The following is a 24,822-nucleotide window of genomic DNA, read 5'->3' as shown; positions in this document are numbered from 1 at the left end:
ACTGCAACCTCTGCCTCCCGGATTCAAGTGATTCTTCTGCCTCAGCCTCCTGAGTAGCTGGGATTACAGGCACGCACCGCCACACCCAGCTAATTTTTGTATGTTTGGTAGAGATGAGGTTTCATCATGTTGGCCAGGCTGACCTTGAACTCCTTGACCTCATGATCCGCCCGCCTCAGCCTCCCAGAGTGCTGAGATTACAGGCGTGAGCCACCACGCCCCGCCTCTTTCAAACACATTTAATAACTTCCATAAAGATCTTGCATGTCTTTTCTTAGATTTCATCCCAGGAACTTTAGATTTTTGTTGCTTTTATAAATCGTGTGGGTTTTATTTTCTGCTGATACATGGACTGTGGTTGCTCTTGATGAATTAGTCTTCTGTCCAGAAAACTTGCTAAATGCCCCTGGCTCTTACTGAATTGGTTGTCCATTATTTGGGGTTCTGTTCGTACACGTCATCTGCAAACTATGAGGGTTTTATTTCTTCCTTTCCAATCCTTATATCTTTTCCTTCTTTATCTTATTTCATTAGTCAAGATCTCCAAGACAGTGTCGAATAGAAATGCTGATGGTAGCCATCCTTGTCTTGTTTCTGATTTAGAAAGGAATGTTTTAACATGAAGTAAGGTGGTTGCTCAATATTCTGTACCAGGCTGAGGCAGTTCCATGATTCCACATTTGCTGTAGGTTTTTGTTATGAATGAACATTGAATTCGACCTACCTAATGCTTTCCTGGCAGCTTTTCAGATACTCATAAGGTTATTTTTCCTTTAATCTGTAAATGTGATGAATGACATTATTAGCTCTTTGAATTTGGGACTAATTTTTCTTTCCTGGGTTAAATTCAACTTGGTCCCGCATATTACCCTTCTTAATACATTGCGGACTTTGGTCTGTGATTTTTTTTTTTTTTTTTTTTTTGAAGTGGCGTCTTGCTGTGTTACCCAGGCTGGCCTCAGACTCCTGGGCTCAAGTGATCCTCCCACCTCAGTGAGACTATGGCTGGGACTACAGGCATGTGGCACCTCACCCGGCCTGGTCTGTGATTTTTGTTAGGAAGTTTGCATCCATCTTTCTGGGTACATCTGACATATAATTTTCCTTTCTCTTTTTTTCTGGCCTCATAAATACATTGGGAAGTTTTCCCTCTTTTTTCTGCAACTGAGTAATGTTTAAATTATCTGCTCCTGAAACTGGCTCACTTCCTGTGAGGCTTCCTGGCCTGATGTTTTCTTTGGGGAGAATGTTCTGATACTGAGTTTTATTAATAGTTATAGAACCACTTGGCTGGCTGTGTCTTCTTGATCACATTTGGTAATTTATAATTTTTCTGGAATGTGTCCATTTAATCCGACATTTCAAATATGTAAGTATAGATTGTTATAGATTGTCGGTGTCCGCTCTTAAGGCTCTGCTGTGTCTGCAGCTGGGTTCCCTCTCTTTTATTGTGGCTTCCTTTTGCTCTCACTCTTCTCATGCTCTCGCAGAGATGTGTCAACTTACTGCCCTTTTTTTTTTTTTTTTTGAGATGGAGTCTCGCTCTGTTGCCCAGGCTGGAGTGCAGTGGCGCGATCTTGGCTCACTACAAGCTCCGCCTCCCGGGTTCACGCCATTCTCCTGCCTCAGCCTCCCGAGTAGCTGGGACTACAGGCGCCCGCCACCACTCCCAGCTTTTTTTTTTTTTTTTGTATTTTTAGTAGAGACGGGGTTTCACCATGTTAGCCAGGATGGTCTCGATCTCCTGACCTCGTGATCTGCCCTCCTCAGCCTCCCAAAGTGCTGGGATTACAGGCGTGAGCCACTGCGCCCGGCCAACTTACTGCCTTTTAAAATAACCAGTATTTGGCTTTGTTAAGTCTTTCTATTGCATTTTTGTTGTCTATCTCATCAATTTCTGTTCTTATCTTTATAATTTCCTTCCTTTTGCTTTCTTGGGTTTGTTTCCAAGTGGCGTTGCTTAGCTCTTTAATTTTCAGACTCTTATATTTTATGATATAAGTGTTTAAGGCCATAAATTTTTCTCAAAGTATTGTTTTCACTGCGCTATATCAGTTTTGATATACAGTGTTTTCATTGTTTTTAGTTCTAACAACGTTTGAATATCAATTATGATTGCTTATTTGACTTCGTTCTTTAGAAGGTTTTTCAATTTTAGAAAGCTTGGATCTTGGGGCTTTTTAGTTATCTTCTTAAAAATGATTTCTAACCTAACTTCAGGAAAATAGTCTGTATATTTCCAATTTTGGAAATTTCTTAAGATTTGCTTTGTAGCCAAGTAGATGGTCCTTTTTATAAATGATCCACATGGACTGTAAAAGGATACATGGTATTGGCTGGGCACAGTGGCTCACGCCTGTAATCCCAGCACTTTGGGAGGCCGAGGCGGGCAGATCACGAGGTCAGGAGATCGAGACCATCCTGGCTAACACAGTGAAACCCTGTCTGTACTAAAAATTCAAAAAATTAGCTGGGCATGGTGGTGGGCGCCTGTAGTCCCAGCTACTCGGGAGGCTGAGGCAGGAGAATGGCATGAACCCGGGAGGTGGAGCTTGCAGTGAGCCAAGATTGCGTCACTGCACTCCAGCCTGGGCAACAGAGCAAGACTCCATCTCAAAAAACAAAACAAAAAAAAGATACATGGTATTCCCTTCCAGTCATGCTCATCTCTCTCCCCCTCTCTCCCTCCCACTCCACCTACCCCCCAACATATGCACACACTCAGTAGATCCAGCTTGCCAAATGTGTCGTTCAAAACATCTTTTTTTTTGAGAAGAAATCTCGCTCTGTCGCCCAGGCTGGAGTGCAGTGGCGAAATCTCGGCTCACTGCAAGCTCCGCCTCCCGGGTTCAAGCAATTCTCCTGCCTCAGCCTCCCAAGTAGCTGGGATTACAGGTGTCCGCCACCACACCCGGCTAATTTTTGTATTTTTAGTAGAGATAGGGTTTCACCATATTGGCCAGGCTGGTCTGGAACTCCTGACCTTGTGATCCGCCCGCCTTGGCCTCCCAAACTGCTGGGATTATAGGTGTGAGCCACCGCACCCAGCCTAAATCATCTTTATCCTATTTACTTTTCTGCCTGATTCTACCAAGAGAGACATACAGAAGGTTCCTGTGATGGTACATTCATCAGATTTTCCATGCAGTTACGTCAGTGTTTGCCTTATATGTTTTAAAGTTATGTTAGTAGGTGCATATGCATATTATTATTAGAATTCTTATATCTTTCTGTTGTGTGAAATCTTTTATAATTATGTGGTGAACCTCTTTGACTCCAGTAATGCTCTTTGCTATAAAATATATTTTAACTAACATTAATACCATTTCTCCATTATTCTTTGGTTATTACTCGTAAAGCACTTTTTCATCCTTTTACTTTCAACCTTCTTTTATATAGTAGGTGTGTTTCTTGTAAACTGTTTCTAGTTGGGTTTTTTAAAAAAATCTAGTCTGACAGTCTTTGCCTTTTAACTTATTAGTTTAGTCCTTTTATGTTTATTGTTAAGTATTGATAGAATTTGGGTTTAGTCGTACTATCTTAATTTGTGCTTTCTATTTGTACAACTTTTTCTATTCTTTTTCCTCTTTTTTTTCATGCTTTTAGCTTTTTTACCTTCATTCTATTTTTCCTTCAGTCAATTTGAAAGCTATAAATTCTATTGCTATTGCTTTCCTTGTTTTCTTAAAATATGCATATTTTGCCATGGATTTATTTCTTTTCTTTGTAGGGATTGCCCTAGAATTTTTTTTTTTTTTTTTTTTAGACGGAGTCTCACTTTGTCACCCAGGCTGGAGTGCAGTGGCACAATCTCGGCTCACTGCAAGCTCCGCCTCCCAGGTTCAAGCAGCTCTGCCTCAGCCTTCTGAGGAGCTGAGACTACAGGCACCCAGCACCACACCCAGCTAATGTTTGTATTTTTAGTAGATATGAGGTTTCGCCATGTTGGCCAGGCTGGTGTCGATCTCCTGACCTCAAGTAATCCACCTGCTTCAGCCTGCCGAAGTGCTGGGATTACAGGCGTGAGCCACCACACATGGCCGAGAAATGTTAACACGTATATTTGAGTTAACGATATCTAAAGTTACAGTTAAGTCAGGGATCTTACATCGATTTATGTTTCATATATTTCAATAGCTTTTGGGGTACAAGTGGCATTTGGTTACATGGATGAATTGTGTAATGATGAAGTCTGATACGTTACTGCACTGTCACCCAAATGGTATATATTGTACCCAATATGTCGTCTTTTTATCCCTTACTCCTCCTCCTGCCCTCCCCACCTCTGAGCCTCCAGTGTCCATTATATCACTCTGCATGCCTTTGTGTACCCATAGGTTAGTTCCCACTTATAAGTGAGAACATGCAGTATTTGGTTTTCCATTCCTGAGTTACTTTATTTAGAATAATGGCCTCCAGATCCATTCAAGTTGCTGCAGAGACATTATTTTGTTCTTTTTTACGGCTGAGTAGTATTCCATGGTATATATATACCACATTTTTTTAATCCACTCATTGCTTGATGGATACTTAGGTTAGTTCCATGTCTTTGCAGTTGTGAATTGTGCTGTGATAAACATGTGCGCAGGTGTCTTTCTGATATAATGACTTCTTTTCCTTTGGGTAGATACTCAGTAGTGGGACTGCTGGAGCACACGGTAGATCTGCTTTTAGTTCTTTGAGAAATCTCCATGCTGTTTTCACAGATGTTGTACTAATTTATTTATTTATTTATTTATTTTGAGATGAAGTCTAGCTCTGTTGCCAGGCTGGAGTGCAATGGCGCGATCTTGGCTCACTGCAACCTCCGCCTCCCGGGTTCAAGTGATTCTTCTGCCTCAGCCTCCTGAGTAGCTAGGACTACAGGCACCTGCCACCACACCTGGCTAATTTTTTGTATTTTTAGCAGAGACCGGGTTTCACCTTGTTGGGCAGGCTGGTCTCGAACTCCTGACCTCGTGATCCGCCCGCCTTGGCCTCCCAAAGTGCTGGGATTATAGGTATGAGCCACCACGCCTGGTCTTTTTTACATTTTAATAATGTCTATTCTGGCTAGGGCAAGGTGGTATCTCATTGTGGTTTTAATTTGCATTTCCCTGATGATTCGTGAGGTTGAGCGATTTTTCACGTTTGCTGCGTATCTGTATATCTTCTTTTGAGAAATGTCTATGCATGTGTCATTTGCCCATTTTTTGATGGGATTCTTTGTTTTTTTCTTGCGGATTTGTTTGAGTTCCTTGTAGATTCTTGATATTACCTCTTCGTTAGATGCATAGTTTGCAAATATTTTCTTCCATTCTGTGGGCTATTTGTTTTTATTTTGTTTGTTTTTTTTTTTCCTTTTGAGACAGAGTCTCGCTCTGTCACCCAGGCTGGAGTGCAGTGGTGCAATCTCTGCTCACTGCAACCTCTACCTCCCAGATTCAAGTGATTCTCCTGCCTCAGCCTCCCGAGTAGCTGGGACTACAGGCGCCTGCCACCATGCCCGGCTCATTTTTTGTATTTTTAGTAGAGATGGGGTTTCACTGTGTTAGCCAGGATGGTCTCGATCTCCTGACCTCGTGATCCGCCCGCCTCGGCCTCCCAAAGTGCTGGCATTACAGGCGTGAGCCACCGGCCTTGTGGGCTGGTGTTTTCTCTGATGATTATTTCTTTTGCTGTGCAGAAGCTTTTTAGTTGAATTAGGTCACATTTATTTATTTTTGTTTTTGTTGCATTTGCTTTTGTGGTTCTAGTCAAAACTGTTTGCTTAAGCCAATGTGCAGAAGAGCTTTCCTAGATTTCCTTCTAGAATGTTTATGGTTCGAGTCTTACATCTAAGTCTTTCATCCATCTTGAGCTGGGTTTTGTATATGGTGAGAGGTATGGATCCAGTTTCATTCTCCTACATGTGGCTAGCCAGTTTTCCCAGCACCACTTACTAGATAGGGTGTCTTTTTCTCCAACGGATGTTTATTTATACTTTGTCAAAGATCCGTTGATTGTAAGTATTTGGCTTTATTTCTGGATTCTCTATTCCATCCCATTGGTCTATGTATCTACTTTTATACCAGTACTATGCTGTTTTGGTAACTATACTGTATTAGTCCCTTCTCACATTGCTATAAAGGAATACCTGAGGCCAGGTGCAGTGGCTCACGCCTGTAATCCCAGGACTTTGAGAGGCAGAGGTGGGCGGATTACCTGAGGTCGGGCGTTCGAGACCAGCCCGGCCAACATGGTGAAACCCCGTCTCCACTAAAATACAAAAAATTAGCCGGGTGTGGTGGCGGGTGCCTGTAGTCCCAGCTACTCGGGAGGCTGAGGCAGGGGAATCGTTTGAACCCAGGAGGTAGAGATTGCAGTGAGCCGAGATCACGCCACTGCACTCCAGCCTGGTGACAGAGCGAGACTCCATCTCAAAAAAAAAAATTTGCTGGGCTTGGTGGTGGGCGCCTGTAGTCTCAGCTACTCGGGAGGCTGAGGCAGGAGAATCACTTGAACCTGGGAGGCGGAGGTTGCAGTGAGCGGAGATGACGTCACTGCACTGTACTCCAGCCTGGGTGACAGAGTGAGACTCTGTCTCAAAAAAAAAGAAAAGAAAAGAAAAAAAGAAATACCTGGGACTGGGTAACTTATAAGAAAAGAGGTTCAACTGGCTTATGGTTCTGGAGGCTGTACAGGAACCGTATCACTGGCATCTGCTTCTGGGAGCCTCTGGAAATGTCTAGTCCTGGCAGAAGGCAAAGCAAGAGTTTGCATGTCACATGGTGAAGGCAGGAGCGAGAGAGCAAGAGGGGACGCGCTACGCACTTTTAAACGACCAGGCAAGGACAGGACCAAGGGGGACAGTGCTAAGCCACTCCTGAGAAATCCTCCCCCATGATCGAGTGGCCTCCCTCCAGGCCAGGCCCCACCTCCAACACCGTGGCTTGCATTTCAGGATGAGATTTGGGCGGGGACACATTCAAATTATACCACAGAGCCTTGTAGTATAGTGTCAGCCAGGGTTCTCTAGAGGGACAGAACTGATAGGATAGATGTGCATACGAAAGGAAGTTTATTAAGGAGAGTTGACTCACAGGATCACAAGGTGAAGTCTCACCCAGGCCGTCTGCAAGTTAAGGAGCCAGGAAGCCAGTGGTGGATCCGTCTGAGTCCCAAAACCTCAAAAGCAGGGAAGCTGGCAGTGCAGCCTTCAGTCTGCCGCCAAAGGCCCGAGAGCCCCTGGCAAACCGCTGGTGTACGTGTAAGAGTCCAAAAGCTGAGGAACTTGGAGTCTGATGTTCGAGGACAGGAAGCATCCAGCACGGGAGAAAGATGGGGCCGGAAGCCTCAGCAAGTCTGCTCTTCCATCTTCTCCTGCGTGCTTTATTCTAGCCGTACTGGCAGCTGATTAGACGGTGCCCACTGAGGGTGGGTCTGCCTCTCCCCGTCCATGGACTCAAATGTGAATCCCCTTTGGCAACACCCCCACAGACACATCCAGGATCAATACTTTGCATCCTTCAATCCAGTTGACACTCAATATAAACCCTCACAAGTATAATTTGAAGTTGGGTAATGTGATGCCTCCAGATTTGTTTTTTGTTTTTTGACAGACAGAGTCTCAGTCTGTCGCCAGGCTGGAGTGCAGTGGCGCAACCTTGGCTCACTGGAATCTCCGCCTCCTGGGTTCAAGGGATTCCCCTGCCTCAGCCTCCCAAGTAGCTGGGACTACAGGCGCCCGCCACCATGCATGGCTAGTTTTTTTGTGCTTTTTAGTAGAGACGGGGTTTCACTGTTTTAGCCAGGATGGTCTCGATCTCCTGACCTTGTGATCTGCCCGCCTTGGCCTCCCAAAGTGCTGGGATTACAGGCGTGAGCCACTGCGCCTGGCCAATACCATGTACCCTTTAACAATCTCGGCTCACTGGAACCTCCGCCTCCCAGGTTGAAGGGATTCCCCTGCCTCAGCCTCCCAAGTAGCTGGGACTACAGGTGCCCACTACCATGCCCGGTAATTTTTTGTATTTTAGTAGAGATGGGGTTTCACCATGTCGGCCAGGCTGGTCTCGATCTCCTGACCTTGTGATCCACCTGCCTCGGCCTCCCAAAGTCCTGGGATTACAGGCGTGAGCCACTGCGCCCGGCCTAGATTCGTTCTTTTTCCTTAGGACTGCTTTGGCTATTCAGGCTCTTTTTTGGTTCATACAGATTTTAGGATTGTTTTTTCTAATGCTGTGAAAAACGATGTTGGTACTTTGATAGGAATTGCACTGAATCTATAGATTGCTTTGGGCAGTTTGGTTATTTCACAATATCGATTCCTCCAATTCATGACCATGGGATGTATTTCCATTTGTTTGCGTCATTCATGATTTCTTTCAGCAGTATTTTGTAGTTCTCCTTGTAGAGTCTTTCACCTCCTTGGTTAAGTACATTCCTAGGTTTGTTCTGTGTGTGTGTGTGTGTTGTCGTTGCGCAGATATTGTAAAAAGGATTGAGTTCTTTTTTCACTTTTTTATTTATTTATTTTTATTTTTTGAGACGGAGTCTCACCCTGTTGCCCAGGCGGGAGTGCAGTGGCGCCCTCTCGGCTCACTGCAACATCCACCTCCCGGGTTCAAGCAATTCTCCTGCCTCAGCCTCCTGAGTAGCTGGGACTACAGGCGTGCACCACCACACCTCGCTAATTTTTGTATTTTTAGTAGAGACGGGGTTTCACCATGTTATCCAGGCTGGTCTCAAACTCCTGATCTCAAGTGAGCCACCCACCTGGGCCTCCCAAAGTGCTGGGATTACAGGCGTGAGCCACCGCGCCTGGCCTGAGTTCTTGGTTTCCTTCTCAGCTTGGTCGTTGTGCTACTGATTTGTGCACATTTATTTTGTAACCTGAGACTTCACCGAATCCATTTGTCAAATCGAGGAGTCTTTTGGAGGAGCCTTTAGGGTTTTCGAGGTATACAGTCATAACATTGGCAGAGATAGTTTGACCTCCTGTTTTCCCATTTGGATGCCCTCTCTTTCTTGTCTTTCCTGATAGTTCTGGTCAGGACTTTGAATACTATGTTGGGTGGGAGGGTGAGTGTGGGAGGGTGAGAGGGCATCCTTGTCTTGTTGCAGTTCTCAGGGGGACTGTTTCCACTTTTCCCCATTTAGTATGATGTTGGCTGCGGGTTTGTCATATATGGCTATTATCATTTTGAGGTATGTTCCTTCCAAGCCTAGTTGGTTGAGGATTTTTATCGTAAAACAATGCTAGATTTTGTCAAGTGCTTTGTATGCATCTACTGAGATGATCGTGTAGTTTTTGTTTTTAATTCTGTTTAGGTGATGAATCAAACTTACTGACTGGCACATGTTGAACCCCCCTGAATCCCTGGGATGAAACTCACTCGGTCATGGTGAATTATTGCTTTAATGTGCTGTTGGATTCCGTTTGCAGGGTCAACTTGTCTTTCATACCTTCCCTGCTGTCATCTTCCAGAATGTTAACACGATGCTGTCTTCCTTAATTCTGCAAATTAGACATTATCATGTTTGTTTTATGGTCTTGACGTCTTTTAGTGTTGATGATGTGTGGACCACTTGTTGCATGGCAGACCTTCCTCTGGGAAATGACAAACTCCTTCGTGTTAATGAATTTTCCTTGTTCTTTAATTGGGGCCATTTTTCCTTTCTAATAAGCTCTGTTTCCTCTTTCTTGAAAGAGAGTGTTGCCGGGTTTATTCTTGTAGCTCTACAGAACTTTGAAAACCCTCCACTACCTTTTGGCTCCATTGTTGCCCTCGAGAAGTCCATCAGTCCTGTGTAGCTCCTGTGTAGTCCTGTGTAGTTCCTGTGTAGTCCTGTGTAGTCCTGTGTAGTCCTGTGTAGTCCTGTGTAGCTCCTGTGGAGCCCTGTGTAGCTCCTGTGTAGCTCCTGTATAGCTCCTGTGTGGTCCTGCGTAGTCCTGTGTAGCTCCTGTGTAGCTCCTGTGTAGCTCCTTTGTAGTCCTGTGTAGCTCCTGTGTAGTCCTGTGTAGTCCTGTGTAGCTCCTGTGTAGTCCTGTGGAGCCCTGTGTAGCTCCTGTGTAGTCCTGTGTAGCTCCTGTGTAGCTCCTGTGTAGTCCTGTGTAGTCCTGTGTAGTCCCGTGTAGCTCCGGTGTAGTTCCTGTGTAGCTCCTGTGTAGTTCCTGTGTAGTTCCTGTGTAGCTCCTGTGGAGCCCTGTGTAGCTCCTGTGTAGTCCTGTGTAGTTCCTGTGTAGCTCCTGTGTAGTCCTGTGTAGTCCTGTGTAGTCCCGTGTAGCTCCGGTGTAGTCCTGTGTAGCTCCGGTGTAGTTCCTGTGTAGCTCCTGTGTAGCTCCTGTGTAGCTCCTGTGGAGCCCTGTGTAGCTCCTGTGTAGTTCCTGTGTAGCTCCTGTGTAGTCCCGTGTAGCTCCGGTGTAGTCCTGTGTAGTCCTGTGTAGTCCTGTGTAGCTCCTGTGTAGTCCTGTGTAGTCCCGTGTAGCTCCTGTATAGCTCCTGTGTGGTCCTGCATAGTCCTGTGTAGTCCTGTGTAGTCCTGTGTAGTCCCGTGTAGCTCCTGTATAGCTCCTGTGTGGTCCTGCATAGTCCTGTGTAGTCCTGTGTAGTCCTGTGTAGCTCCTGTGTAGTCCCGTGTAGTCCCGTGTGACCCCGTGTAGTCCCGTGTAGTCCCGTGTAGTCCCGTGTGACCCCGTGTAGTCCCGTGTAGTCCCGTGTGACCCCGTGTAGTCCCGTGTAGTCCCGTGTAGTCCCGTGTAGTCCCGTGTGACCCCGTGTAGTCCCGTGTAGTCCCGTGTAGCCCCGTGTAGTCCCGTGTAGTCCCGTGTAGTCCCGTGTAGTCCCGTGTGACCCCGTGTAGTCCCGTGTAGTCCCGTGTAGCCCCGTGTAGTCCCGTGTAGTCCCGTGTAGTCCCGTGTGACCCCGTGTAGTCCCGTGTAGTCCCGTGTAGTCCCGTGTGACCCCGTGTAGTCCCGTGTAGCTCCCGTGTAGCTCCCGTGTAGCCCCGTGTAGCTCCCGTGTAGCTCCCGTGTAGCCCCGTGTAGCCCCGTGTAGCCCCGTGTAGTCCCGTGTAGCTCCCGTGTAGCTCCCGTGTAGTCCCGTGTAGCCCCGTGTAGCCCCGTGTAGCTCCCGTGTAGTCCCGTGTAGCCCCGTGTAGCCCCCTGTAGCCCCGTGTAGCTCCCGTGTAGCCCCGTGTAGCCCCGTGTAGCTCCCGTGTAGCCCCGTGTAGCCCCGTGTCGTCCCGTGTAGCCCCGTGTAGCCCCGTGTAGTCCCGTGTAGCTCCCGTGTAGCCCCGTGTAGCCCCGTGTAGCTCCCGTGTAGCTCCCGTGTAGCCCCGTGTAGCCCCGTGTAGCCCCGTGTAGTCCCGTGTAGCCCCGTGTAGTCCCGTGTAGCTCCCGTGTAGCCCCGTGTAGCCCCGTGTAGCCCCGTGTAGCTCCCGTGTAGCCCCGTGTAGCCCCGTGTAGCCCCGTGTAGTCCCGTGTAGCTCCCGTGTAGCCCCGTGTAGCCCCGTGTAGCCCCGTGTAGTCCCGTGTAGTCCCGTGTGACCCTGTGTAGTCCCGTGTAGCCCCGTGTAGTCCCGTGTAGTCCCGTGTAGCCCCGTGTAGCCCCGTGTAGTCCCGTGTAGTCCCGTGTGACCCTGTGTAGTCCCGTGTAGCCCCGTGTAGTCCCGTGTAGTCCCGTGTAGCCCCGTGTAGTCCCGTGTAGTCCCGTGTAGCCCCGTGTAGTCCCGTGTAGTCCCGTGTAGTCCCGTGTGACCCTGTGTAGTCCCGTGTAGCCCCGTGTAGTCCCGTGTAGTCCCGTGTAGTCCCGTGTAGCCCCGTGTAGTCCCGTGTAGTCCCGTGTAGCCCCGTGTAGTCCCGTGTAGTCCCGTGTAGCTCCTGTGTAACTAGTCTGTTTCTTCCCTTTGACCCGTTTCCTTTGGTTTTTTCCCGTATATTTACTTTATTTACCAGTTGTGTTTGTTTTTACTTTTGTTTTTACTCATCATATAGGTGTATATTAGTTGTTTTTACTCATCATATGAGTGTATATTAGTTGTTTTTACTCATCATATGAGTGTATATTAGTTGTTTTTACTCATCATATGGGTGTTTATTCGTTGTTTTTACTCATCATATGAGTGTATATTAGTTGTTTTTACTCATCATATGGGTGTTTATTCGTTGTTTTTACTCATCATGTGGGTGTTTATTTGTTGTTTTTACTCATCATGTGGGTGTATATTTGTTGTTTTTACTCATCATATGGGAGTATATTAATTGTTTTACTCATCATATTGGTGTATATTAGTTGTTTTTACTCATCATGTCGGTGTTTATTCGTTGTTTTTACTCATCATATGGGTGTATATTAGTTGTTTTTACTCATCATATGGGAGTATGTTAGTTGTTTTTACTCATCATGTGGGTGTTTATTCGTTGTTTTTACTCATCATATGGGAGTATATTAGTTGTTTTACTCATCATATGGGTGTATATTAGTTGTTTTTACTCATCATATAGGAGTATATTAGTTGTTTTACTCAGCATATGGGAGTATATTAGTTGTTTTTACTCATCATGTGGGTGTTTATTCATTGTTTTTATTCATCATGTGGGAGTATATTCGTTGTTTTTACTCATCATATGGGTGTATATTAGTTGTTTTTACTCATCATGTGGGTGTATATTTGTTGTTTTTACTCATCCTATGGGAGTATATTAGTTGTTTTTACTCATCATGTGGGTGTATATTTGTTGTTTTTACTCATCATATGAGTGTATATCAGTTTTTTACTCATCATATAGGTATATATTGGTTGTTTTTACTCATCATATGGGTGTATATTTGTTATTACCACGAAGTAACTACTTTCTGTTTCCCTTTTTTTCTTTCTTTTTGTGGTAAAACATACATAACACGAAATTGACCATTTTAACCATTTTTAAGTGTACAATTCAGTGGCATTAGCACATTCACTGTATCACATATCCATCACCACCACCCCTTTCCAGAACTGGGTATCATCCCAAAGACTCCATACTGGCCGGGCGCGGTGGCTCACACCTGTAATCCCAGCACTTTGGGAGGCCGACGCGGGCGGATCACAAGGTCAGGAGGTCGAGACCATCCTGGCTAACATAGTGAAACCCTGTCTCTATTAGAAATACAAAATATCAGCGGGCCGTGGTGGAGGGCGCCTATAGTCCCAGCTACTCAGGAGGCTGAGGCAGGAGAATGGCGTGAACCCGGGAGGCAGAACTTGCAGTGAGCCAAGATCGTGCCACTGCACTCCAGCCTGGGCGACAGAGCAAGACTCTGTCTCAAAAAAAAAAAAAAAAGACTCCGTACCAATAGTTATCTCCCCTCCCCTCCTTCTAGCCCTGGTGGCCACTGTTCCACTTTCTGCCTCTATGAATTGACCTGTCCTAGGTACCTCGTAGACGTGGAATCATATAGTATCTGCCCATTTGTATCTGGCATCTTTCACTCGGCGTGTCGTAAGGGTTTATTCACGACGTAGCCTGTGTCGGAACGTCCTTCCTTTTTTTTTTTGAATGTGGCTGCTACGAACACTGATGTATGAGGATGTGCTTGAGTTCCTGCTTTCAGTTCTTTTGCATATACAGCTAAAGGTGAAACTGCTGAATCCTCTACTGACTCTGTGTTTAACTTCTTGAGGAACCTTCACACTGTTTTCCACGGCGGCCACACCATTTACCTTCCCGCCAGTGACGCATGAGAGTTCAGTTTATCCACATCCCACCAACATTTATTTCCCTTTTTTTTTATAAAGGCCACCCTAATGGATGTGATGTCTCACTGTGGTTTTTATTTGCATGTCGCTCATGACGAATAATGTAGAGCATCTTTTCATGTGCTTATTGGCCACGCGTATATCTTTGAAGAAGTGTCTATTTAAGTCCTTTGCCAACTGTTTTTTTTCTTTTTGAGATAAGGTCTCACTTTGTTACCCAGGCTGGAGTGCAGTGACACGATCACAGCTCACAGCAGCCTCAGCCTCCCAGGCTCAGGCCATCCTCCCGCCTCAGCCTCCCAAAGTATTGGGATTACAGGCGTAAGGCACCGTGCCCTGCCCTTCAATTTTTAAACTGGATTATTTGCTTTTCTGTTGTTGAATTATAGGGTTCCTCCTATACTCTGGATATCAACCCCTCGTCAGATACGTGATTTGCAAATACCGACGTCTCCACCCTGAGGTGTTTTATTCCTCCAGAGTGTCCTACGTGTACATTTCACTGTAATGAGGGTCCAGTCGCTCCAGTGTTTCTTTTGCTGCCTTTGCTGCGGTGTCATATCGAAGAAATCCTGGCCAAATACAGCGCCAGGAAGTGTTCCCCTGTGTCTTCTTCTAAGAGTCTTTTTTTTTTTTTTTTTGAGACAGGTTCTCACTTTGTAGCCCAGGCTGGAGTCTGATGGCGCAAACACGGCCCACTGCAGCCTTGACCTCCCGGCTCAGGTGATCATCCCACGTCGACTTCCTAAGTAGCTGGGACTACAGGCACGCCTGGCTAGTTTTTTTATTTATTGCAGAGATGGGGTTTTGCTCTGTTGCCCAGGCTGGTCTAGGACTCCTGGACTCAAGCAATCTACCCATCGCAGCCTCCCAAAGTGCTGGGATTACAGGCACGAGCCGCCTTGCCCAGCCTCTTCTAAGAGTTTTATAGTATTAGCTCTGATGTTTTTGAGTTGGTCTTGCACTCTTAAAGATAACTAACGATTTGGCCGGGTGCGGTGGCTCACACCTGTAATCCCAGCACTTTAGCAAGCCAAGGCAGACAGATCACCTGAGGTCAGGAGTTTGAGACCAGCCTGGCCACCATGGAGAAACCCCGTCTCTACTAAAAATACAAAAATTAGCTGGGTGTGCTGGTGCATGCCTGTAGTCCCAGCTACTTGGGAGGCTGAGGCATGAGAATCGCTTGAACTCGGGAGGCAGAGCTTGCAGTGAGCCGAGATTGTGCCACTGCACTCCAGCCTGGGCGACACAGTGAGACTCCATCTCAAAAAAAAAAAAGTTAACTGATGATTTTAAGGAACCATTCTGAATGCATGGAAAGGTGTCCCGTGTCCTCCTCCGCACCTGTTCCCTGGCTGGCATGTTGCCCCCCTGTGGTGTGGGAGCCCTGCTGGCTCCTGAGTCCTTGGATGTGACACTTGGCTCTTCACTGTTGCTTTCTGCAGCATCTAGACGCTCCGGCCTCGTTGTCTGCATTTCTACCTTAGATCTGGAATCAGTCATTTCTCCAAAAAGCTCGGGCTCCTTTTAGTGTAAAATGTATGTAGAAACCAGTTTTGGGTACAGGGCACTCCCGGCGATGGGATTGGGTCTTGTCTCTAGGCCTTTGCAGTGGACTGTGTGGAAATACACTTTTAAAAATATATATAACATACATCAGAAATTCATACTGAAGCTTTCTATTCAGATCTGGAGTTTTCTTGTAAGCTTAATATGCTTAATTTTGGCCAGGCGCGGTGACTCACACCTGTAATCCCAGCACTTTGGGAGGCCGAGGCGGGCAGATCACGAGGTCAGGAGATCGAGACCATCCTGGCTAACACGGTGAAACCCCGTCTCTACTAAAAATACAAAAAATTAGCCAGGCACGGTGGCTGGCGCCTGTAGTCCTAGCTACTTGGGAGGCTGAGGCAGGAGAATGGCATGAACCCAGGAGGCGGAGCTTGCAGTGAGCCAAGACAGCGCCACTGCACTCCGGCCTGGGCGAAAGAGCGAGACTCCGTCTAAAAAACAAAAAAAATCCTTAATTTTAATTTTGTATCTCCTTTGTCAGCTGAAAACTCTCATACTCACAAAATCAGCAAAATGATCCATCTGTTTTATGCCACAGTTCATACAAAGCTTTGGGAAGAGCCACGTCGACACTGTCACCCAGAGCATCGTCATTGCAGGGTTTTCTTCATTTTTGATGTGTAGTTGGCTCCCTATGAGCTAGGGGCAAGTTACTGTGTTTTCAAATCTCTACAGAGTCTCTTGGAATACTTCTGTGTATGTTTTATGTATTTCATTTTCTTCTGCTTTTGAGGGATGGCTTTTTAAATTCAATTTTGTTTCTAATTATGAAAAAAAAATGTTTGCGTGGTGCCAAGATTAAATCTATACAATGAGGCGACACCCAGGACCCGGCAGAGGGCTCCTCACCACCCAAGACCCCAGGCAGAGGCCACCCTGGAGGACAAAAGGGGCCTGGGGCAGGGCCACGATCCGGGGAGCTAGGGGGTGGCGAGCAGAGGTGGCCCAGTCCAGGAGCACGGAGCTGCCCCCTTTATGTGCTGGTCGCACCTCCCACACAGGTTGCCAGGCAGGAGGGGAGGATCATTCTGACGTCGGGGCAGCCATTCCACAAGGTGAGTGTCCCAAAGATAAGCTCAGTGGGCCTGAGCCCCATCTTCCCAAGCCCCCAGCCCCTCGGCCACCCCCACCTCAGGGTCAGCTTGCCGTGGGGCCGACCCCCAGCGCCTCTGCCGTACCCCTGGTGGGCCGAGAGAAGGCTCCTGCCCCATGCTGGCGGAGGCGGGCTGGGCCTGGGCAGGTGCTGGGCTCTGCACTGCCCCTCAGTAGCCGAGCCGTGTCTTTGCAGCTCCGGGCCCAGGTCGGGGCTGGGCGCTGCCTCTCGGTCGACTGCTCCCTGAAGGCCCAGCAGCAGGCCAAGGCTGTGCTCAAGCATTTCAACGTGCGTGTCACCCACGCAGACATCTTCAGCCGCTGCCAGGTGGGTCCTGCGCACCCCGTCCTACCTGGGGCTGGCACAAGATCTGGAGCTACGGGGGTGTCCAGGGAGGTGGGCCCCACCCTAGACAGTGGTGGGTCTGGGGTGGGGTGTCGGCAGAGCATCCCTCGTGGTCCAGGGTGAGGTGTCGGCAGAGCATCCCTCGTGGGTCCGGGGTGAGGTGTCGGCAGATCATCCCTCGTGGGTCCGGGGTGAGGTGTCGGCAGATCATCCCTCGTGGGTCCGGGGTGGGGTGTCGGCAGATCATCCCTCGTGGGTCCGGGGTGGGGTGTCGGCAGAGCATCCCTCGTGGGTCCGGGGTGGGGTGTCGGCAGAGCATCCCTCGTGGGTCCGGGGTGGGGTGTCGGCAGAGCATCCCTCGTGGGTCCGGGGTGGGGTGTCGGCAGATCACCCCTCGTGGGTCCGGGGTGGGGTGTCGGCAGATCATCCCTCGTGGGTCCGGGGTGGGGTGTCGGCAGAGCATCCCTCGTGGGCCCGGGGTGGGGTGTCGGCAGATCACCCCTCGTGGGTCCGGGGTGGGGTGTCGGCAGATCACCCCTCGTGGGTCCGGGGTGGGGTGTCGGCAGATCATCCCTCGTGGGTCCGGGGTGGGGTGTCGGCAGATCACCCCTCGTGGGTCCGGGGTGGGGTGTCGGCAGATCACCCCTCGTGGGTCCGGGGTGGGGTGTCGGCAGATCACCCCTCGTGGGTCCGGGGTGGGGTGTCGGCAGATCACCCCTCGTGGGTCCGGGGTGGGGTGTCGGCAGAGCATCCCTCGTGGGTCCGGGGTGGGGTGTCGGCAGAGCATCCCTCGTGGGTCCGGGGTGGGGTGTCGGCAGAGCATCCCTCGTGGGTCCGGGGTGGGGTGTCGGCAGAGCATCCCTCGTGGGTCCGGGGTGGGGTGTCGGCAGAGCATCCCTCGTGGGTCCGGGGTGGGGTGTCGGCAGAGAATCCCTCGGGGGTCCGCGGTGGGGTGTCGGCAGAGCATCCCTCGTGGGTCTGGGGTGGGGTGTCGGCAGAGAATCTCTTGGGGGTCCGGGGTGGGGTGTCGGCAGAAAATCCCTCGGGGGTCCGGGGTGAGGTGTCGGCAGAGCATCCCTCGTGGTCCGGGGTGAGGTGTCGGCAGAGCATCCCTCGTGGTCCGGGGTGAGGTGTCGGCAGAGCATCCCTCGTGGTCCGGGTTGAGGTGTCGGCAGAGCATCCCTCGTGGTCCGGGGTGAGGTGTCGGCAGAGCATCCCTCGTGGTCCGGGGTGAGGTGTCGGCAGAGCATCCCTCGTGGGTCCGGGGTGAGGTGTCGGCAGAGCATCCCTCGTGGGTCTGGGGTGAGATGTTGGCAGAGAATCCCTTGTGGGTCCGGGGTGAGGTGTCGGCAGAGAATCCCTGGTCCAGGGTGAGGCGTCGGCAGAGCATCCCTAGTGCAGGCTGGCATGGCCACGGGGACAGCTCCAATCAGGCATTGGCTTGGATTTGGGGAATTCCCTCTGGCTCCCATGGGGCTTCTAGAAGGAATCGAGGGAAATTGTGGAAGTCCCTTCAGGCTGGGTGGGTCCCACTTTCCAAAGGCAACACGCAGGACAGCCTGCGTCTGCTTGGTGACGTCTAACAAGGTCTGGGCAACAGAAGCCCTGAGTGGGAACTGCCGCACCTCGGTGGAGATCCATAGAGGAGGCTGGTGGGGGCACCAAAGCCCAACTCACCTCTCTCCCTCCTCTCCTGTCCCCAGTGGGGGACTGGGCTGAGGCACCTGCCCAGGGCTGCACTGTCCAAGCTTGCTATGCCCCACACCAACTGGCACCTGGGCATGGCCAGTCTGGGGGGAGTTGATGCTGCCTTTTGCGCCTCCACTCAAGGCGCCAGGGTCTCCGTGGGCGACACGGGAGCAAGGGGGACTGTGGGCTGTGCTGGCTCTCGGCAGTTCCCGGTGGAGGGTACGGGCTGCTTCCAGAACGTTCCGCAGTTAGGGCCACATCAATATTCCGCCTGGAGCAGCAGGTCGGGGCTGCTCCAACAAGCCCAGTTTTGTTTCCTGGGGTTTTTTGGGGGTGGGACGGAGTCTCACTCCATCGCCCAGGCTGGAGTGTAGTGATGTAATCTCAGCTCACTGCAGCCTCCGCCTCCCAGGTTCAAGCAATTCTCCCACCTCAGGCTCCTGAGTAGCTGGGATTACAGGTGCCCACCACCACGGGCGGCTAATTTTTGTATTTTTAGTAGAGACAGGGTTTCACCATGTTGGTCAGGCTGGTCTTGAACTCCTGACCTCAGGTGATCTTCCTGCCTCAGCCTCCCAAAGTGCTGGGATGACAGGCGTGAGTAATCCCAGCCTCCCAAGCCCAATTCTGGGGGAAGTTTTGGGACCCCCTCATGGAGGGAGATCCCCTCATGGAGGCCACTGTCAGGGTCCCTGCTGGTGCCTGGGCTGGGCAGGGAGGGGCCCTGAGCTCAGCTCCACCCCATGGTCCTCAAGGGCACCCACCTGGCTGAGCAGAAACAGATGCAGGCCTGCGCCTTCTGCTACCGCCCTTCTGCCCCCACAGCCTCAGGCTGGGCCTGGCGGGGATTGAAGCAGGAAGGAAAGAGGGAAAGCTCCGGCTCGGCTCGGATCTGCAGCCGGCCAGGCACCTGTACACACAGGCCCCTGGACCTCCCACTGCCCCTGGCCTGGGGGTGCAGTCTGACCCTCTGACCCCACTGCCCTGCGGGGACCGCGGCCTCTGCCTCAGGTGGCAAGGAAGTGTGCTCCAGGGGCCTCTCCTGCAGCCTTGGGCTCCAGGGGCGGCAGGAACCGCGTCCGCTGCCTCTCTTTGTCTGTGCTCAGGCCAGCAAGCGCTGTAAAGACCCCAGGATGTCCGGGACGCCTGGGGAGGCATGTTAATGAGCTGTTCAGAATCGGCTGCTGCATTTTCTTGAGAAAACAGGAAGTTGGGTAGCTGGGAGGAAACCCCTGCTGGAGCCCTGGCCAGCCGGGTGCTGGGGAGTGCCCCTGAGGACCCAGGCCAGGCATGGAGGGGCCGCCAAGCCCTGCATGGAGAAGGGTGTCCAGGGTGTGAGGCAGAAGGGCAGACTTTGGCCTGGCTGAGTGGATGGGATGGGGGCGTCGGGGGCTGAGCAGTGGGGGCCGCCCTGACCCATGTCCGCCCTGCCTCTTTGCTGGCTACTGGCAGCTCCAAGCTGCTGATGCCACTCTGCCACCCACACCCTGCAACCCCCAAGCTGCCCCTGCTGTGGCAAGCAGGAGCGCCAGGCCCAGGGGGGCTGCAGGTAGAGCAGGCCTGGGAGGGGCTAAGGCCAGAGCTGCACCCCCGTGGGGGGCCAGCAACTGTCCAGGCTGGAGAGGGCAGCGCCAGCTGTCCAGGACCAAGGCAGTGAGGGAAGGAGCATCTGGATCTGAAAGACTGCAAACAGCCGGCGGGGAATTTGGCCTGGAGGGTACCCTGGGCCCTGGCTGCAGCCCCAGGCAGCGACCTGCCACCTGTGCCAGCCCCTCTGTCTGGGGGCAGGACGTGGGGAAGGGGCGGGGGGGCTGCCTTGGCCCCACGGACTGCCCGGCCAGGGGCCTTGCAGACATATGCGTCTCTGTGTGCACATCCCGCAGATGCTGGGTGGTGTGCGGTGAGGACAGAACCAAGCGTTCCCCCTGCCCGCCCCGGCCTGGGAGCAGAGCACATGCTGGCAGCCACACCAGAACCTGAACCCCCTGGTGCAGGGCTGGCAGGAGCGGGTGCTGGTCCATGCAGAGCCCCACGTGTATGCGCCACATGCGGCCTCAGGTCGGAGCCCAGGTGGGAGGGAGGCCCTTGTTGGGGCTGGGGACCCTGCTGGGCCCTAGCAGGATGCCCTTGGGCAGGTGACAGAGAGCTGTTGGGAGAGGGCCCCCCATGTGCACAAGGGTCCCTCAGGGCCAGTGCGATGGGGCCAGGAGAGCAAGAAAGGGGTCTATGAGAAGCTGAGATGTCTACATTTGAAGCCAGCCTTCCAGGTCACCAGGTGGGAGAATGGAGCTTGCTTTGCACAAGTGCCTCAGCCGGGTGGTGGCCCAATGCCCACAGCCCAGGGTCCCATGTGCGCACCCGCCTCCTTGGCTCTGGAGTCCCGAGAGGTGCTCAGGGCCTGGAGGGCCAGGGCCCCAAGCCACACATCCGTGATGACCATGTGCTCTAGAAAGTTCTTCCTAGGGCTGGGCAGGCTCAGGCCACGTTCCCACCACCCACTCCAGCAGCACTGCAGCCTCAGTGCTCCCAGCTGAACCCTGGGAGCTTGGCCTGAGCAGGCAGCTGGGAACACCACTGATCGGCCACCCCACACACTGGCTGCCCCATCCCTACCCCAGAGGTGAAGAGAGGCCCATCCTCAGGGCCAAAGAGGTAGGCACGGGCAAAACAATGGAGGCCGGGCCCCGGGACCACGCAGGCCCAGCTCCACGCAGCTGCAGACCCCGGGCCTGCCACCGCAGCCACAGTGCAGGGCTCGGCTGGCTATGACCCATCTGGACACCAGAGGGCTGCTGGCCATCACTAGCCAGCAGAGAGCGGCACGCTCAGGCTGACGCAGCAGGAGAGATCGGCCCTCCGCCCTGGAGCTGCCCACGGGGCCTGGCTCTGGGCTTGGTCACAGGATCTGAGGCTCACAGCCTCCGCTGTCCCCTAGCTCCGGCCAGAGCTGACCACCTCCCTGGAGAGCGCCTGCCGCCGGGCTGACTTTCCATTTTCTTCTTCCTTCTGCTATTTTGGTGCCGTTCCCGGAGGGAAAGCCCGCTCAACGTGCAGGGTTCCCAGAGCGAGGCTGGGGTGCTCTCTGGGTGGTACGGTGGGCACACAGCAGGGAGTGAGCAACAGCGCTCATGGCTGAGCCCAAAGCTGGGCCAGGGGCCTGGCCAGGGGTCTGTGGCCACCGCCGGCCCCACCACTCAGCAGAGACCCCAGGCGGTGGGACTCCTGGGCGCTGGGGTTGCTGGTGCCGGCTTTCTGGTAGCATCTGCCCACGTGTGCCCCTGAGCCAGGCAGGGAGGGTCTCCCCTCGAGCGAGGATGGCCCACCGGCCCACCCACAGAAGCCACAGTGGCTGTGGGTCTCAAGTAGAGGGCAGGGCCGTGCCCTCTGGGGCAGGGTGGGGGTGGGGAACGTTCCCAGTGCCGTCTACCATGGGAAAATATTTTATCAAAGAAGCTCAAGCTTAAAAAAAAACCCTTACCATGAACCCCTGACATGGCCAGGCATACCGTCTATTTTTACCGTCCCAGTCCCCACCCCCCCAGCATGGTTGAGGAGCGGGCTGCAGCCCCCACGGGGACACGTCCTGAAACAGTGGCGTCAGCCCCTTGGAAGTGGGCATCCCAGGAGGCTGTGGTGACCCTGCCTCCGAGGGCTCCCGGGCAGAGCTGGCCATTATGGGGGGGACGAGGGGGGGTGCCGGCAGCCGGGGCCCAGCTCATGGGCGCCTGGGAAGCCCTGTGGGGCTGGGCAGGGACCCTGGGGAGGGTGGTGGACCCCAGCCCAGCAGACAGGGGTCCAAGAGGGGGTTCTCGAGGAGGGGACAGAGTGGGCTCCAGGACAGCTGCCCCCAGCGTTCACACTCAGCACCTGGAGCCTGCCGTGGACAGGGGCTTCAGAGCCCAGACCCAAGATCCAGCCTGGGGGCCCCAGTGCCGCCCATTCCTGCCGTGGGCCTGGAGACCCTTACATTCTCTGTGCTCAGTTGATAGACAGAGGGACAGACAGGAAGAGGTGCAGCGGCCACAGACCCCACCCCTCCCAGGCTCTGTCCGTCTCAGCCCAGACCCCATTCCCACGCTTGGCACCCCCATGTCACACAGGCACAGAGGGTACAGAAGGACCTCCTCCCTGCTCCTAAGGTGGCGGTAGGGGCCCAGCCCCAGAGCTCTGGAGGAAGACGGGCCCTCCAGCCAGGGCATGGAACTGCAGGGCAAGTTTCAGCAGCGGGTGGGCCTAGCACGACACCCAGGCTGGGGACAAAGAGGGAGTGATGGCACCTGAGGGGGCTTAGTGCAGCCCCCAGGGCTGACAGGAGGGTGGTCAGCCAGGGGTCCAGGTGGTTCCCCCAGGAGGCCACCCACACCACCTCTCCACAGCATTCTGGGCTGGAGACCCTCCAGAAGGCCCCACTGCCCCCTCATCCCCCCTTTCCTAGCAGCCTTCCAGAAAAGCTGTGGGTCTCAGCCAGAGCCCAGCCTGGGTTCCCACCAGATGGCCCCTGGGGATGGAGGACCTGGACCCACCGGCCTGGGGACCACAGGTTCGTGAGGTAGTGCCTGAGGACCAGAGGGCCACGCAGCATGCCGAGACCCACTGCCCTCCTCAGGTGGCCCCGGGGCCTGGCTCCACTCAGCCTGGATGGATGGGATGGGCAGGCTGTCCTCGGGGTGCCAGGGGTGCACGCAGGAGGGACCGGCCATGGCCAGGTTCAAGGGAGGGAGTCCTGGGGAGCTCCTCAGGGTGACAAGGTAGGGTCTGTGTCCAGTCGCCACATTTTGCCCATCCAACAGGAGAGGCCCCGCGTGGGCTGGCAGGTGCGCGCCTGGGGCCGCCTCCCCTGCCCGCAGCTACAGAGGCAGGGCTGCCTCTCCTGAGCCTCAGCCTCCTCACAGGCCGGCTGGGGTCTCCTGACCCTTTCCTTCCCACCCCCTCCAGGCCCGCCACGCTCAGAGAATGACCTGGGCCGCCCTGTCAGGCTGAGCAGGAGAGCTGCCCCCTGCACCCCTATGCCTCATGACATGGGTTTGCTGAAGTGGGGAGAGGAGAAGAGGTCCCTGCCCAGCTCCCCAACTCCTCTGAAGATCCCACAACGTGCCCCTCCCACATAGAGCTCCCCTGGAAGGACCAGAGCAGGGTGGGCTGAACGGGCCACTCCCCTTCCATCCAGGCAGGCCCGTCACACCTAGGCCCCTGTGCGGGGCGGGGCTCCCAGGCTCCAGCAGCCCACGCGGCTCCCACCGCGGCCTCCTCTTAGACTCAGCCCCCAGCGGCTCTACCCTGCCCAGCCCGGGGCCCTCGCCCCACTCTGTTGTCCCCCAGCCCCTGCAGCCCGGAGCAGCCTCCGTCTCCCCCTGGCCTGCCAGGCCCCAGCTTAGACGTCGCTTCCTCCAGGAAGTCCCCCAGTCGATGGCGGGACCATCACCGCTCCTGGAGGGAGTACTGGGGCCCTGCCTCCCGGGCACTGGGAGCTGCGAGGGTCGGCCCAGGGCCGCTTGGGGCGGGTTCAGGGCCTGCCACCTGCTGCCGGGACCGGCCCCATTGGTTGGAATGGGCACGCCCGGGGCGCGCGGGCTACCCCCCTCTGCGGGCGGGGGGCCGAGTCCCCCAGCGACCCCGCGGCCCCTGGGAAGGAGGGTGTCTCGGCCCCCTGCACACACCCCTGCGACCCTGGACGGGCAGGCGGGGTCCCCCAGGCCGGCGCGCGAAGGCCGCGGGCGGGCGGCCGTTAGCTTTTGAATCTCCGCCGGGCGCCCTGAGTGGCCGTTTCCAAGGCCGGCCGCGGGGGCGGGGGCCGTTCCCAGGCGCGCCCCGCCCTCCGCCGCCCCTCCTCCCACTTTCCCACGCGGCCCGGCCCGGCGGGTTCTCACGGCCGCCGCCCCTCCCCCGTCTGGGAAAGCCAGCGCGCCGCGCCCCGCCGAGGCTGGGGGGGGCCGGGGGAGGGAACGAGAGCTGGGGGGCGAGGGGGGAGGGGAAGCTCTGGAGCCCCGGGGAGGGGGAGAAGGGGGACTTCCCTTGGGAGGCTCAGAGACGGGAGGGGGCCACAGCGAGGGGGAGGGGGGAGCTGCCATCCCCTGGGATGGGGACGGTGTGGGGGCGCCCCGGAGCCCCCGGAGGGAGCCCGAGGCCCAGGGCACCGTGTTGGGACCCTGTGTGGCCCGGCTTCTGTTTGGTTTGACCCAAGGCAGGTGGGAGCGGCCCGGGTCTGGGCGGGGAGTGGGGTCTGGGGCTCCTGACCCTGTTTTTATTCCTCCTGCCCGCCCAGGGCAGGCCGGGGATCTGACAAACACAGGCGCTTGCTAACAAGAATCTCAGAAAACGGTCATTTTTTCATATAAAAAAGTATCCTGCACTTTATCTGAAATTCACACTACGGGGCTTTGTGTCCTGCTGCCCCCTCCCCCGGGGTGGGGGCTGACCAT

At 53.5% G+C, this 24,822-nt stretch overlaps 1 protein-coding gene across 6 annotated transcripts in view, besides 5 other annotated features; it reads left to right on the top strand.

Annotated features, from left to right (window-relative positions):
• Positions 1-24,822, top strand: part of EXD3 (exonuclease 3'-5' domain containing 3) — a 116,267-nt gene that overhangs the window by 82,742 nt on the left and 8,703 nt on the right. For all 6 annotated transcript variants that reach the window (NM_017820.5, XM_047423544.1, XM_047423543.1 and 3 more), the window contains 2 exons: positions 16,278-16,331; positions 16,565-16,696. In NM_017820.5, coding sequence (NP_060290.3) covers positions 16,278-16,331; positions 16,565-16,696 — 186 coding nt within the window. The remainder of the gene's footprint in view (positions 1-16,277; positions 16,332-16,564; positions 16,697-24,822) is intronic.
• Positions 18,832-19,465: an enhancer, noted in NCBI's record as "H3K27ac-H3K4me1 hESC enhancer chr9:140215408-140216041 (GRCh37/hg19 assembly coordinates)". NCBI's record gives its function as "activates a minimal SCP1, AML or CMV promoter by ChIP-STARR-seq in naive and primed H9 embryonic stem cells {active_cell/tissue: H9 hESC(naive and primed)}" and the evidence as "EXISTENCE:reporter gene assay evidence [ECO:0000049][PMID:30033119]".
• Positions 19,466-20,100: an enhancer, noted in NCBI's record as "H3K27ac-H3K4me1 hESC enhancer chr9:140214773-140215407 (GRCh37/hg19 assembly coordinates)". NCBI's record gives its function as "activates a minimal SCP1, AML or CMV promoter by ChIP-STARR-seq in naive H9 embryonic stem cells {active_cell/tissue: H9 hESC(naive)}" and the evidence as "EXISTENCE:reporter gene assay evidence [ECO:0000049][PMID:30033119]".
• Positions 20,735-21,370: an enhancer, noted in NCBI's record as "H3K27ac-H3K4me1 hESC enhancer chr9:140213503-140214138 (GRCh37/hg19 assembly coordinates)". NCBI's record gives its function as "activates a minimal SCP1, AML or CMV promoter by ChIP-STARR-seq in primed H9 embryonic stem cells {active_cell/tissue: H9 hESC(primed)}" and the evidence as "EXISTENCE:reporter gene assay evidence [ECO:0000049][PMID:30033119]".
• Positions 23,522-23,621: a silencer, noted in NCBI's record as "silent region_20614". NCBI's record gives its function as "represses an Ori minimal core promoter by ATAC-STARR-seq in GM12878 lymphoblastoid cells {active_cell/tissue: GM12878}" and the evidence as "EXISTENCE:reporter gene assay evidence [ECO:0000049][PMID:35858748]".
• Positions 23,842-24,311: a silencer, noted in NCBI's record as "silent region_20613". NCBI's record gives its function as "represses an Ori minimal core promoter by ATAC-STARR-seq in GM12878 lymphoblastoid cells {active_cell/tissue: GM12878}" and the evidence as "EXISTENCE:reporter gene assay evidence [ECO:0000049][PMID:35858748]".

Source organism: Homo sapiens, chromosome 9 (genome assembly GCF_000001405.40).
Source record: "Homo sapiens chromosome 9, GRCh38.p14 Primary Assembly".
Lineage (NCBI taxonomy): Eukaryota > Metazoa > Chordata > Mammalia > Primates > Hominidae > Homo > Homo sapiens.
Note: the sequence above shows the minus strand (reverse complement) of the source record. Positions and strands in the feature narration are given on the sequence as shown.